This window comes from Homo sapiens, chromosome 9 (assembly GCF_000001405.40).
Source record: "Homo sapiens chromosome 9, GRCh38.p14 Primary Assembly".
In the NCBI taxonomy this organism is placed as follows: Eukaryota; Metazoa; Chordata; class Mammalia; order Primates; family Hominidae; genus Homo; species Homo sapiens.
The window spans coordinates 132941709-132956173 of NC_000009.12; the positions used below are offsets into that span (position 1 = coordinate 132941709).

The 14465-nt window shown below is 47.0% G+C and overlaps 2 protein-coding genes and 1 non-coding gene across 51 annotated transcripts in view, besides 7 other annotated features; 2 read left to right on the top strand and 1 right to left on the bottom strand.

Annotated features, from left to right (window-relative positions):
• TSC1 (TSC complex subunit 1) overlaps nucleotides 1–3670 on the bottom strand; it is a 54030-nt gene extending 50360 nt beyond the window's left edge. For 25 of the 49 annotated variants that reach the window (NR_176217.1, NR_176214.1, NR_176218.1 and 22 more), the window contains exon 1: nucleotides 2835–2908. The gene's annotated coding sequence lies outside the window, so the exon portion shown is untranslated. Of the gene's footprint in view, nucleotides 1–2834; nucleotides 2909–3476 lie in introns of those variants that run through there. The other 24 variants (NR_176216.1, NM_001406620.1, NM_001406618.1 and 21 more) reach the window with 3 other exon arrangements.
• Nucleotides 2516–2575: a silencer, noted in NCBI's record as "silent region_20438". NCBI's record gives its function as "represses an Ori minimal core promoter by ATAC-STARR-seq in GM12878 lymphoblastoid cells {active_cell/tissue: GM12878}" and the evidence as "EXISTENCE:reporter gene assay evidence [ECO:0000049][PMID:35858748]".
• Nucleotides 2636–2695: a silencer, noted in NCBI's record as "silent region_20439". NCBI's record gives its function as "represses an Ori minimal core promoter by ATAC-STARR-seq in GM12878 lymphoblastoid cells {active_cell/tissue: GM12878}" and the evidence as "EXISTENCE:reporter gene assay evidence [ECO:0000049][PMID:35858748]".
• Nucleotides 2780–3513: an enhancer, noted in NCBI's record as "NANOG-H3K27ac-H3K4me1 hESC enhancer chr9:135819875-135820608 (GRCh37/hg19 assembly coordinates)". NCBI's record gives its function as "activates a minimal SCP1, AML or CMV promoter by ChIP-STARR-seq in primed H9 embryonic stem cells {active_cell/tissue: H9 hESC(primed)}" and the evidence as "EXISTENCE:reporter gene assay evidence [ECO:0000049][PMID:30033119]".
• Nucleotides 2780–3625: a biological region, named in NCBI's record as "NANOG-H3K27ac-H3K4me1 hESC enhancer GRCh37_chr9:135819875-135820608".
• Nucleotides 2826–3125: an enhancer, noted in NCBI's record as "active region_29224". NCBI's record gives its function as "activates an Ori minimal core promoter by ATAC-STARR-seq in GM12878 lymphoblastoid cells {active_cell/tissue: GM12878}" and the evidence as "EXISTENCE:reporter gene assay evidence [ECO:0000049][PMID:35858748]".
• Nucleotides 3226–3305: a silencer, noted in NCBI's record as "silent region_20440". NCBI's record gives its function as "represses an Ori minimal core promoter by ATAC-STARR-seq in GM12878 lymphoblastoid cells {active_cell/tissue: GM12878}" and the evidence as "EXISTENCE:reporter gene assay evidence [ECO:0000049][PMID:35858748]".
• Nucleotides 3486–3625: an enhancer, noted in NCBI's record as "active region_29225". NCBI's record gives its function as "activates an Ori minimal core promoter by ATAC-STARR-seq in GM12878 lymphoblastoid cells {active_cell/tissue: GM12878}" and the evidence as "EXISTENCE:reporter gene assay evidence [ECO:0000049][PMID:35858748]".
• Nucleotides 3823–14465, top strand: part of GFI1B (growth factor independent 1B transcriptional repressor) — a 47904-nt gene continuing 37261 nt past the window's right edge. The window contains exon 1 of the mRNA NM_004188.8: nucleotides 3823–3961. The gene's annotated coding sequence lies outside the window, so the exon portion shown is untranslated. The remainder of the gene's footprint in view (nucleotides 3962–14465) is intronic.
• MIR548AW (microRNA 548aw) lies at nucleotides 3999–4063 on the top strand. The gene has a single exon (NR_049862.1). It is a non-coding gene; the product is annotated as a microRNA 548aw (primary transcript).

Consider the following 14465-nt stretch of genomic DNA (forward strand, 5'->3'; position numbering starts at 1 on the left):
AAAGGATAAATGATAAACAGATCTTCACCCAACAGGGTAGGCTCAAAGTCACCAATTTGCTTGGTTTTTATAAAACCATTAACAGGTTGACTCAATCGATTTAGTCAGAATATTTAAATGACACCCCAAAGGACTTTAAATCACAGAAATGTAGGCCTAGAAATACTCATTAATTTACATTCCAACTTTTACTTCACAGATGAAGACACAGGCTCACAGAACTTAAGTGACCCACTGAAGGTCAAAAGCTATCTGACTCTCTAGAAAAGCCTGAAATGGTTGAGATATTGCTATATTTGGCTCATCGGCATTCAAGAATATCCAATTAATTCCAGGAAAAGCTAATTTTAGTTCACTATGGCCCTGGAACCCAGAAATAAACATACCTGTAGCCAAACAAACTTCAAATGAAGACAGAGCTATAAGAACAAGTCAGCTCTAATTCAGAGCCCAAAATTCACCCACCACTACACAAATAAAAGGCTACAAGCTATTTTAAGAAATACCTCTGTGATAAATAATAAATGAAAATAGCCAGAATGATACTTGAAGCCAGTGGTCCTCAACCTCCGGTGCACATAAGAATCAGTCTTCTTCCAAAATATATATACAAGGTGTCCGAATATGTAGGTCTACCTAGTATAGTGCCAAATATCTGTACATCAAGGTTCTCATGAGCACTAGGGTTTCAGATCTCGTTTCCACCAAGTTCATTATTCTGCAAACATTACATATAGAGGTATATATTAGATTTGCCCTAGTAAGACTGTTAAGTTTCATCTCACGAATGAAACCAGGCATGCACAGAAGGCATCATATTACACCACAACAGTAGCAGTATCAGTTTTTACTCTTAACCCAGTGAGGAAGAGGACAACTGAGTCACAGGACCTGAAGCACTCTAATTTTATGGAAACAAGAAGGCTGGTAGCCACCTGCTTTCTAACCAGGAATTTAGGAACGTACCAAGTGTTTATGACACCAGGAAATGCATGCAGCAGAGAAAGTTTACATCATCTGCCCTTCTAGGCACGTGATATAAGAGTGTTTTGGATAAGATATTAACTTTAGTAAGAGGATATTTTCCGTTTACATCTTCTATAAATACCCCTTAAGTTTACACCAGGTGGTTAGAGGAAGATTCTGCAGCTCCCTAGGGCAATAGCAAAGAATGTTTCACTGTTTCTGAGGAGCCTCATTTGCCTGATGCATGACTGTTAAAGGTGCATTTCCCTACACAACCCTAAATCAGTTTTCACATTTGCATATTCCAGATTTACTCAGGAATGTTCAATTTAAGAATCACAGGTGGTTGCTCGGTAAATCAAAGGCTCCCCAAAGATTAGGTTTTATAATGCTTCCTGAAATTTACAGCTCCACTTTGCCGGCCTGTTTGAATTCAGATGACTCCAAGTTGATCCCAAAATTATAAATCAAAGTATCTCAGAAGAGTATTATTCTATTTTAGCACTTTTATAGCTTACTCTATGCAACGTGAAGTGTTATTTGTATGCTTTCTATTTAAAAAAAAAAAAAAGCCAGCAAGGATTTTAGCAGGACTTCTTTCTTCAGTAAACTCATCAGTTTTATTAAACTATCAAATACTTTTTAGCCTAATTTAGACTAACAAGTTCACATGCACAACACTGCCATCCCAAACAAAAGCTAAGGCGGATAAGCCAAGTGCATCCCCCCACTTCAACATTAAACAGACACACGTGCATAAACCTTGGCTAAATGATAAATTTTAATCACTTACAGGCCAGCTTTGATCAAATAACAGATAAATTTAAGAGTCATATCTTTGGAGTCAGTCAGATCCCAGCAGTTCCAGTCCTGGCTCAGATACAATTGGGGTGTGAACTTAGGCAAAGTACCCTGCTCTCTCCGGGCCTCAGTTTCTTCATTTGAGAAGATTGGAGGTGTTAACAGTGGCTGCCTCTTCTCTTTGTCGTGAGGACCAAAGGAGATAATGACTGCCAAGCACTTTCACAGTGCCTGGCACACAGAGAGCACTCCATTAACGTTAGCTGTTGTTCTTAGGAGGACCGCGTCCCCTCCCAAGTCCTCACCACACATCCAAAACACACAAAGCAAAACTCTTTAACAGGAAACACAAAGAAAGAGCTTTAATTCTACAAGGTCCCTCCGATTGCAGGCTCTTCATCCTCCAGTTCCTCAAATGAATGAATGAACGCCTAGGAGGGGCTCTGCAAATAGCTGTCTCTTAGGAATCCCCTTTGCCCACTTTAAGGTAACTGTCTTTCACCACCAATTAAACACCCACAAGTACACCCAGAGCGAGTCATGCAAATTTCAGCGGAGACACCGAATCCAGGCGAGTCCTTGATCCCCACAGGCGACCTCCATTCATTCTCCACGCCCCTATACCCCGACCCCTCTCTTTAAGTTCTGGGACCAGCCCCACCCTCGCGACCCTTCCCCTCCCGCCAAGCGTCTCTACCCTGCCCTCCGCACCTAGCGTGAACCTGTCACCCCACCAAGTGAGGGACTGACGAAGGGGCCCACCTCGCCCCTGCCCGAGGGACCGAGGCCCAGGGTGCAGCCGTCCCCTCGGGGGCCAAGGAGGGGCGAAGTGCTCCGTCCGGCTCGCCTCTCCTCCCCAGGGACCCGCCAGTCCCGGCCGGGCCAGCCGGAGATAGCGTGTAATAAGAGGGAGGGGAGAGCTCTCCGAACCCCCCTTCCCCGGGATCCCTACCAAGCAAGTGAGTCTCTTGCTCCAGCCCCTCCGAGCCTCCCCGGCTGGAGTCATGGTGCCGGGGCTGCCCCAGGAAGCCCCCATAAAAAGGAGGGGGAGACACCCCCATACTCACCCACCGTCTCCTCCCCCTCAGCTGTTTACCTCACAGTCCCTCCAGCCTACAGGGCGCCGCCATCTTGGACGTACAGCACCTCCCCCGTCGTGAAAGGGCCAAGGCCGACGGCGGCCTCCGCCACGAAAAAGAGTCCCCCTCCGGACCTCCCCTCCTTCTCGAAAGGAAGGATAGACGGCCGCGCTCGGCAGCCCCGCCGGAAGGAAGAGGCTCTTCCACTCATAACTGACGATGTGGGTTGGACGAGAAAAAAAGTAAGGAGGGTTTTTATGGAGGGGGGCGGGGCCGGGCGGAAGGATCCGAAAGGAGGCTGCGAAGAGATCTTGTGACTCCGCGAAGGAGGCAAAAAGAAGGGCCGGCGCGGCGGGAGGAGCCACGCGAGAGCCCGAGGGGGCGGGGCGGGCGGTCACGTGACTGGCGGGCGGGGGGACGCGGCGGAGAGGCGTAAACAAGCTGGCGGCGCCTGGGTGTGGTTGGAGCGCCCTGCCCCTGCCCCCCGAGTCGTTTCTGCCCTTCGCTTGCGTGGCGCCCTCCGAGGGTCTCTCTGTGGGCGGCCTCAGAGCAGCGATCCTGTTTCCCAAGGAGCTGCTGGGGCCCGCGTGGGTGAAGGGCCTGCTTGGGAGCTTTGGAGTTGCAGCTCACCTGGGAAGGGGCGGAAAGCTGCGGGCCAGGGCAGCCCTCCTTCCTGGGCTAAACATTTTCAGAAGCCCGCCTCCGGGATTGCGGGGGACCCCCCTGGCTTCTGCCTTCAAGTAGCTCACACTTCACACCTACTCATGACATCTAGGGGAAACCAGCCCTAATAGGAGACAGCTTGAAAATCAGAACGCCTTATTCCGTTTCCTGCTGAAACAAGGCTTTAAGTCCTCCAAGCCTCAGTTTCTTCCTCTGTGAAATGGGCATAATGACATCTGTGACGTGAAGAATCAAGGAGATGAAGTATGGACAGCGTTTAGCCCAGAGTCCTGCGCCTAGTAAATGCTCACTCACTAGATAGGTGGCCTTTATTGCGAGGCTGAGTATGATGGGCTCCATCCAGCACGAACACAAAGCCCTGTGAGAGGAGGCAGAGTGAGATGAAGTCGAACTGTGGGATATGAAAGGCATTTTGAAGGAGTAGGCATCAGGTTGGGTTTTAAAGGAAATGTAGGTTTTGTGAAATACTAGGTCGGTGCAAAAGTCATCACGGTTTTTACCATTAAAACCGCGATGACTTTTGCATCAACCTAATAGAACCAGGCGAGGCGGCTCGGGAGAGAAGGCCATTCCAGGCAGAGGGAACCAAAGGAGCAAGAGCCTAGGGGCAAAAAAGTGTTGGGTGAGTTATGGGAATAACAGGTTTTGTCATGGGAACCAATTGGGTCACAGTGCAAGGCAGCCATGGTTAAGGGGGGCCAGGTGTGTGAGTAGCCAGCACCGTGGGTGCCTTCAGAATTCTGAAAAGGCCCTGGATGGTATCGGGTAGAGCCGCTGCTAGTCAGTATAGGGCCTTGGTGAGAATTAGAAAAATGGCACCCCTGGGCTGTATTTTGGCCCCTATCCACCAGCCCCAAACCCTCCTGGGCCCTTGAGCAGTGAACAACCTTTATAACCATACGTCTAGAGCCACGAAGGCTTAGGAGGGAGGTGAAAATTGAACTGATGATTCCTCTGTTCTAACACAGTCGCTGGGGGGAAGCTAAGAGTTCTAGATTCAAACAGACCAGAGTTTGAATGTAGGTTTCAGCCATCATGTTCTAACTGGATGAGCCTTAGTCTCCTCACCTGCAACATAGGGCTAATAATAATGCTAGTTCATGGGGATTTGGGGTGAAGTCAGTGAGTCATTAAGCTCTAAGTGGCACAGAGCCTACTCCAGTTAATGTTATTTTTGATAACTGTTAAGTGCCAGCTGTCAGCATCCATCACTTCCAGAAACGGGTCCACCAAACACTAAATTCTTCTGTGTCACCACCCAAGCATAGTCTGCATGGGGTCCAGAGATGGAAAGGTCGAGGGAAACGGGGAAGGGTCTGGGTTCTCTCAGTTCCACCAATCTGCAAACTACTTTACAGGAACAGACTCTTCCCTTTGCATTCACACCAGGGAAGGGATTCAAGATTTCTGAAATCTTCAGAGATTTCTGAGACCACCAGTGATGGGAGACCTAAGGAGGAGGGCAGGGGGAGCAGCACTGCTCTGGAGCTCTGACCCAGGAAGCCCCCCCACACCCTGACCTTCCTTGGCTCCATGACCTCATCCTGCAGGAATGCATTCTGCCATGGAGGAGAGCAGCCATAAGCAGAGCTCATCAACTGCTCACTTTCCAGGGGGCCATAACCACATTGTCACTGTTTCTACACTGTCTGGAAGAAGAATGGGCATTGTTACCTCAATATGGGACCACCAGGGGCTTGCAAGAAGAGGCTGAAGGTGACAGGCAGAGACAGCTCTACTACCATCTCCTGCCACTTACCAGGCTGGGCCACCTAGATGTTTTCTGCTTCTCTGGGGTTGATTTTTGTCATTTGCTCAACAGACACTATTCAGACCACTACCTTCCATACACCACCCTGGAGCCTCCCTGTGACGGGGCTTCCTGACCGGCCTGTCTGAGCATGAAAGGGCTGAGCCCTCCATAGGCGGGCGTGCTGACAGGATGCACGTGGTGGAGGACATCTGCTGCATTTGGCTGTGTGACATCTCCCCCTCGCCTTCTGAACAGGTGAACCGCCCATCCTCAATTCTTTCAGTGCTGATGGTCCTCACAATCACAGTACCAGCCCCAGGCCACAGCAGGTGGACCAGGCCTGGCCAATCTGAGATGCCCATCATGGAGCTTGTTAAAAGAAAGCTTAAGACAAGTTCAATTAGATTAAATTTAATCGAGCAAAAAAAAAAAAAAAAAAGAAAGAAAAAGAGAATTCATGAATCAGGCAGCCTCTAGAATCAACAGATTCAGAGAGACTCCCGGGGTCAGAACAAATTTATAGACAAAGTAAAGTGGCCTGGCGCAGTAGCTCACTTCTGTAATCCTAGCAATTTGGGAGGCCAAGGCAGGTAGATGGCTTGAGGTCAGGAGTTCGAGACCAGCCTGGCCAACATGGTGAAACCCTGTCTCTACTAAAAATACAAAAATTAGCCAGGCGTGGTGGCGGGTACCTATAATCCAAGCTACTCAGGAGGCTGAGGCAGGAGAATCACTTGAACCTGGGAGGCAGAGGTTGTAGTGAGCTGAGATTGTGCCACTGCATTCCAGCCTGGGTAACAAAGAGAGACTTGGTCTCCAAAAAAAAAAAAAAAAAAAAACTAAACTAAAGTGACATACAGGAATCAGAAGTGAGGTACAGAAACAGTGAGATTGGTTGCAGCTCGGCGTTTGCCGTATTTGAACAGTTTGAACACTCAGCAGTCTATGAGTGGTTGAAGTATGGCCGCTGGGATTGGCCAACACTCAGCTATTGTTACAAGTGCATACTACTAAGTTAGGTTTTCAATTTTGCGTGCCTATTAAGCTAGGTTACGGTTCGTCCACAAGGACTCAAATATAAAAGTACGGAGTCCTTCTCAGGCCATATTTCATTTGCTTTAACAAGCTGAAATGGTTGGTCTACAGTGGACCTGTGACTTGAGCTGGACTAGAGTGCTCCTCTGGGTCTTTATAGATGGGTGTTTAAAAAAAAAAAGCAATTTTTCTCTTTCCTTTGGGGTCACTAAACTGCGATGAGGAAGCTGTGGCCTCTCCCTTCCCCCGTCCTACAGCAAGGTGTGTGACAAGTCGAGTTAAAGAGTGAAAGAGACAGAGATGGAAAGAGAAATTCATGCTGCTATCTCCTGCATTTCCGGAGTCCCTGAAACCAGCTTTGCCCTGGCCTTCCAAGTTCCATGAAGCAATAACTATTTTGGCCAATGCTAGTTTCATTGGATTTCTGACCCTCATCAACAAAAGGCCTTCTGGATGTGGTGGGATTCAGAGGCCTTTGGAAGGACACCACCAGCCAAAAATATTTCCCACTCTGTGCCCGAAGTTCATCCGCTTGAATTGCCTTTTGGCTTTAGCTTTCAGCTCTCTGTGCAGCAGCCTCCTGGCCAGGTGCCCTGCCGTTGGTGGGCAACCCCCGCAGGATGGGGTCTGAGCTTCTGCTGGCAGCCCCCAAGGCCCTCTGCAGCCCCGGCCTCTCTAGCGCATCAGTTTCCCCTTGCTTTCTAGCACCGTGTCCTCCAGTACCAAGGAACGCCCAGAGGCTTCACACCGCCCTACCTTGGCTTAGGCCGTCTCCTCTCCCTCCGCACCAGATGGCCTCTGCAGCCTGTGCTGGTCATTCTCCGTTTGCCCTTCTCTGTCTGGGCTCCCCTCTGAGCCACACCCGCTAAGCATGTCCTCTCCCTCCTCTTGGATTTGACCAAAGTGCGGCAGGGTCAGGTGAGCGAGGAAGAGCCTTCCCACCTGGCCTGGCCTGGCCGTGAGGCACAGCTCCTGCTGCGTGGCCTGTCTCACCCGTGGTGTTAGTAATGGTTTCCCCCACTCACTTTTCACACCCAGAGGTGATCACGGATCCCCACAGCTCACTAGTCCTTAGGTGCTTCAGCACCTCTTTTTTCTCTGAAGCTGCTCACACCTGTCTTTTTAATTATCCCTTGGAGGGTGTTACTGTTTCCCACCAGGATCCCAACTGCTACAGCCCCTTCTTAGAGAATCTATCTTCAGCCCAGGCTACTCACTGTGAATCAAGCCAAACCCACAGATACACACACACACACACACACACACACACACACACACATCAAGCCAAACCCACAGATACACACACACACACACATACACACACACACACACCCCCAACCCCCTGATTGGACCTGGATCAGGGCTGAAAACCTTCCTCACACTGAACCAGCCTGATTCTCCTTCTTGAGAATTAGAACCGAGAGACCCCAAGACTGAGATACATGGTGTTGGTGGAGGATTGCAACTTTACACAACTGCAGGGGGACCATTCAAACTGCTGTACTCCAGGAGAGGCAGATCACTTAGAAAACACCTCAAACAGGTGCCCTCGAGGGTTATGCAATAAGGCGGGACTGTGCTGGTCCCTGGGGGGGTTCATATGGAGTTGGACCCAGCCATGGCCGTCAGCACCACTCTGGACAGCAGAGGTTAAGCAGGAAGAGCTACTAGGAGCCTTGCTGAGGAAGCCGGCATGCCCAAACCAGCAAGGAGCAGCTGTGGCCACAGAGAGGAAGGAGAGCTGCAGGACTAGCCCATTGCCCAGGAGGCCTGCTTAGGTCTGGAAGATGCCCCTGTATCTTTTCAATAAATTCCACTTTTTCATGCCTGTAATCCCCACACTTTGGGAGGCTGAGGCAGGAGGATTGCCTGGGGCCGGGAGTTCGAGACCAGCCTGGGCAACATAGCAAGACCCCATCTCTACAAAAAATAAAGATTAGCCAGACACAGTGGCATGCAGCTGAAGTACTAGCTACTTGAGTGGCTGAGGCAGGAGGATCACTTGACCCCAGAATGTTGAACCTGCAGTGAGCCATGATCGTGCCACTGCACTCCAGCCTGAGTGACAGAGTAAGACCCTGTCTCTAAAAAATAAAAATAACACACACACACAAATTCTACTTTTACCTGAGCTAGAAGATGTTCGCTTCTGTTCCTGACAACCAACACCACCATCGAGGCTGGAGATGGCCAAACATGCTTTCCTTTCTTCACCCACATCACACCTGTTCTTCCTCCAAGACTCAACTCCAATGTGATCTCCACCAGGAAGTCTTTTTAGGACCCCCAGGATGGCAAAAAGACCCCTGCCCTGAGCCCACTACCCCTATCAAATGCATACCTCCATTCCTTCCACCACACCGCCTGCTTACTCAGGTTGTGCTTATGGGCCTGTCTCCCAAGTTCTCAAGAACTCTGCTGTCCCCAGGAGGTGGGATGGATAAGAGGGCCCTTGAAACCTCTACTTCAAGGTCAAAAGACAGGAACAGGCCAGGCTCGGTGGCTCACGCCTGTAATCCCAATCCCACTTTTTTTTTTTTTTTTTTTTTTGAGACGGAGTCTCACTCTGTCGCCCAGGCTGGAGTGCAGTGGCGTGATCTCGGCTCACTGCAAGCTCTGCCTCCCGGGTTCAAGCAATTCACTACGCACTATACACACTATGCACTACACTATACTATACACTACACTACACTATACACTATACACTTTGGGTTTTTGAGATTTTGTTTAACAATGCCTTTTCCAACCCTTAATCACACACAAATGCTTAAGCTTTCTCTGTTTGTATGGGGTTTTTTGTTGTTGTTGTTTGTTTGTTTGTTTGTTTTTGAGACAGGGTCTTACTCTGTCACCCAGGATTGAGTGCAGTTGTGCAAACATGGCTCACTGCAGCCTTGACCTCCCGGGCTCAGACCATCCTCCTGCCTTAGCCTCCTGTGTAGCTGGGACCACAGGAGTGTGGTATCACACCCAGCTAATTATTTTATTTTATTTTATTAGAGATAAGGTCTCACTTTGTTGCCCAGGCTGGTCTTGAACTTCTGGGCTCAAGCGATCCTCTTGCCTTGACCTCCCAAAGTGCTGGGGTTACAGGTGTGAGCCACCATGCCTGGCCATTTGTATGTTTCATATTTATATTGTTACATTAAAAAATAAATTTATGTTTTACATTTCACTTCTAGGTCTCTGCAGAGGCCATGAAAAATGTGCCATTCAGCTTTTCTGCTAATTGTTGAAGGCCCAGCTGCCACCGCTCTGGATCTACACCCCATTTGCAATGAAGCCACACATCTCGTGAGCCACTCCCAGCCCGTGACTGGGCACAGCAGGGGCCCTAACGCAGGATAGCTCTGAGGAGGTGTGGGACCCTTGACAGTGGAGGACATTGGCCCGAGAACTCTTCATCGACCTGATCAAACCTCTCTTGGAACTGCAAAGCAGTCTGAGACTCTTCTCCCAGTTTATTATCTCCCTATTAACTATCTATAGTGTAGCTCATTGGAAAAGAGTCATTAATTTTGATTATCAAATTCACTCCTTTTTCTTTTTGACTTGCACTTTGGGTTTTTGAGATTTTGTTTAGCAATGCCGCTTCCAACCCTTAGTCACACGCAGTCCCCCTCTCCTCACAGGTTTCAGATCCATATCATAGCTGAAGGCTCTCTCTGCTGTCCAGCTCCTCCTCTGTGTGGGACATTTATCTGAGTTTTAAAATGTCCTTCCCAAAAGTTGACTTTAGTATTATTTTATTATTTATTTTTGAGACAGTGTCTCACTCCAGTCCAGACTAGAGTACAGTGGCCTGATCATAGCTCAGTGCAACCTGGAACACCTAGGTTCAAGCCATCCTCCCATCTCAGCCTCCTGAGTAGCTGGGACTCCAGGCACACACCACCACACCGGGATAATTTTTTTTATTTTTTGTAGAAGTGGGCTCTCACCATGTTGCCCAGGCTGGTCTTGAACTCCTGGACTCAAGCAAATCTCCCACCTCCGCCTCCCAAAGGGCTGGGATTACAGGCGTGAGCCACCATGCCTGACCTGTAGTGTATTATTGATTTATTATTAGGTATTTTATAGTTTTTAATATTATTTTGTGTGTTTTTTTAAAATTTTCAACTTGGTTGTTACTGAAGTAGAGAAATTCTATTGATTTTTGTAGGTTGATCTTATATCTTGCACCTAGTTGAACTCTCTAATTTTACTAGTTTGTCATTTTATTTTTATTTATGTTGAGTTTTCTAGGGATATTATCACATCATCTGAAAATAAAACAGTTTTATCTCTCTCTCTTTTTCTTTTTTTCTGAGATGAACTCTTGCTCTGTTGTCCAGGCTGGAGTATAGTGGCATGATCATGGCCCACTGCAGTCTCGAATTCCCAGGCTCAAGTGACCCTCCCACCTCAACCTCCCGGGTAGCTGAGACTATAGACATGCCTGGTTAATTTTCAAATATTTTATAGAGGTGAGGTCTCCCTATGCTGCCCAGGCTGGTCTTGAACTCCTGGACTCAAGTGAAATTCCCGCCTTGGCCTCCCAAAGTACTGGGATTACAGTCATGAGTCATCACACTCGGTCTGTCTCTTCTTTTTAAATTAGAACTCTCCTCATTTGTCTTTCCCTTTTTATAGTGTTGGCTGGGACCTCCAGTACTATGTCAACCAGTAGTGGTGATATTAGGCATCTATTCATTATTCCCAATCTTCAAGGAAATGCATATAAATTTTCTACAGTAGGTATGATGTTTGCTCTAAGACTTTTGTCTATGACTTTTACCAAATTAAAGAATAGATGTGGCCTTTATCCAATGCTTTTTCTGCATTCATTGAATAGTCAGAAATATCCTTATTTTAGCCTATCAATGTGGTGAAGTACACAGATACATTTTTTTGATGGTCATTTATCCTTGCACTCCTAGGACAAGCACAACTTGATCATGATGTATTTTTAAAAATACTTGTTGATTCGTGTTTTATTAAGGATTTTTGCATTTATTGTATGCATTTATGGTTCTTTTAATTGGAATGTATAGACTATTTACATTTAATGTAATTATCAGTGTAGTTGGGCTTAAGTTTACCTTCTTGATATTTGCTTTCTATTTTTCCATCTGTTCTTTGTTCCTTTCTTTTGTCTTTTTCAGCCTCCTTTTGGATTAATTTAGCATTTTTTAGAATTCCATTTTACCACCACTATTGGCTTCTTTGCTGTACCTCTTCGTCTTATGCTTTTAGTGATTGTTCTAGGATTTAAAATATGAATCTTTAACTTATCACCATCTATATTCAGTGGCTACTATACCATTTCAGATATAATTTAAGAGCTTTACAACAATATACTTCTGACCAGGCGTGGTGGCTCCATGCCTGTAATCCCAGCACTTTGGGAGGCCAAGGCAGGCAGATCACTTGAGTCCAGGAGTTCGAGACCAGCCTGGGCAACATGGCAAAACAGTGTCTCTACTGAAAATACAAAAATTAGCTGGGCATGGTGGCGAGTACCTGTAGTCCCAGCTACTTGGGAGGCTGAGGCAGGAGGATTGCTTGAGCCCGGGAGGCGGAGGTTGCAGTGAGCTGACATGGCACCACTGTACTCCAGCCTGGGTGACGGAATGAGATCCCGTCTCAAAAATAAAATAGGCCGGGCACGGTGGCTCATGCCTGTAATCCCAGCACTTTGGGAGGCTGAGGCGGGCAGATCACGAGGTCAGGAGATTGAGACCATCCTGGCTAACATGGTGAAACCCTGTCTCTACTAAAAATACAAAAAATTAGCTGGGTATGGTGGCACACACCTGTAGTCCCAGCTACTTGGGAGGCTGACGCTTGAACCCGGGAGGTGGAGGTTGTAGTGAGCCAAGATCATGCCACCCTAACTCCAGCCTGGGCGACAGAGTGAGACTCCATCTCAAAAATAAATAAATAAATAAAATAAAATAAACTATACACTTCTATTTCCTGCCCCCTGTTTTTTGTGCTATTGTTGTCATAAATTTTACTTCTACATAGGTTATAAAACCCTAGCTAGGGGTCTATATTATAAAAATATTGTTATTATTTTTGCTGTAAAGAATCAATTTTTTGTGTGTGTATTGGTCTGTCACCAAGGCTAGAATGCAGTGGTGCGATCTCAGCCCACTGCAACCTCCACCTCCCAGGGCTCAAGTGATCCTCCTGCCTCAGCCTCCCAGGTAGCTGGGACTACAGGCACGTGCACCACCACACCCAGATAATATTTGCATTTTTTGTAGAAACAAGGTTTTACCAGCAGGGTGCAGTGGCTCACTCCTATAATCCCAGCACTTTTGGAGGCTGAGCTGCCTGGATTGCTTAAGGTCAGGAGTTGGAGACCAGCCTGACCAAAATGGTAAAACCCCATCTCTACTAAAAATACAAAAATTAGCCAGATGTGGTAGTGCATAACTGTAATCCCAGCTACTCAGGAGGCTGAGGCAAGAGAATCACTTGAACCCAGGAGGCAGAAGTTGCAGTGAGCTGAGATCATGCCACTGCACTCCAGCCTGGATAGCAGAGTAAGACTCTGTCTCAAAAAAAAAAAAAAAGAAAAGAAAAAGAAAAGAAACAGGGTTTTGCTATGTTGTCCAGGGTGGTCTCAAACCCCTGGGCTCAAGCAATCCTCCTGCCTTGGCCTTGCAAAGTGCTAGGATTACAGGTGTGAGCAACCACATCTGGCCAATTTTTTTTTTTTTGAGATGGAGTCTCACTCTGTTGCCCAGGCTGGAGTACAGTGGCGCAATCTCGACTCACTGCAACCTCCTCCTCCCGGGTTCAAGTGATTCTTCTGACTCAGCCTCCCGAGTAGCTGGGACTACAGGTGCGTGCCACCAAGCCCAGCTAATTTTTTTATTTTTAGTAGAGACGGAGTTTCACTATGTTGGCCAGGATGGTCTCGATCTCTTGACCTCATGATCCACCCACCTTGGCCTCCCAAACTGCTGGGATTATAGGCATCAGCCACTGTACCTGGCCAAATATTTTTTAAAGAAACAAAAAACTGAGAAAAAATATTTTATATTTGCCCACATATTTACCATTGCTGGCATTCTTCATTTATTTGTGTAGATCCAAGTTTGCATCTGGTATTACTTTCCTTCTACTTAAAGAACTTCCTTTAACATTTTTTATAAAATGAGCATGCAATAAATTCTCTTGACCTTTGTCTGAAAGAGTATTTTACCCTCATTTTTTGAAAGATATTTTTGCTGGGTATAGAATTCTAGGTTGATGGTTTCTTTCTTTCAGCATTTTTTCTTTTTTTTTGAGACAGGGTCTTACTCTGTCACCCGGGATGGAGTGCAGTGGTGTGTTAGTAGCTCACTGCAACCTCAAAGTCCTGGGTTCAAGCAGTCCTCCCATCTCAGCCTCTCAAGTAGCTGGGACTATGGGTGCATGTCACCATGACCAGCTACTTTTTAAAACATTTTTATTAGAGGTGAATTCTCCTATGTTTCCCAGGCTGGTCTCGAACTCCTGGCCTTAAGTGATCCTCCCGCCTTGGTCTCCCAAAGGATTGGGATTACAGGCATTAGCTACTGTGCCCAGCCTCTTTCAGCTTTTTAAATATGTCATTCCATTGTCTCTTAATTGACAAAATTTCTGAGGAGAAATTTATGGTAATTCTTACCTTTGTTCCTTTTTTTCTGAAGGTAATTTAAATTCTTAACATAAACGGATTGGTTGATTGATTTGAAATCATCCTGAGTGTATTAGTAAGAGTTCTCCAGAGAAGCAGAACCAACGTGATGTGTGTGTGTGTGTGCATGTGTGTGTGTGTGTGTGTGTGTGTGTGTGTGTTTAAGGAATTGATGCACATGATTTTTGAGTCTGGCATGTCCAAAATCTGCAGGATGGGTTGCCAGGAACAGAGAAGAACCACTGTTGCAGTCCAAGTCCAAAGGCTGTCTGTTGGCAGAATTCCCTCTTGCTTGTGGGAGGTCAGTCTTTTGATCTACTCAGGCCTTGAATTGATTGGATGAGGCCCACCCACATAGTGGAAGGCAATCTGCTTTACTGAAAGTCCACTTATTTAAATGCTCATCTCATCCAAAAACACGTTTGACCACACATGTGGCCACTATGGCCTGGACAAATTGAGACATAAAATTAGCCATTATACTGAGTACCTA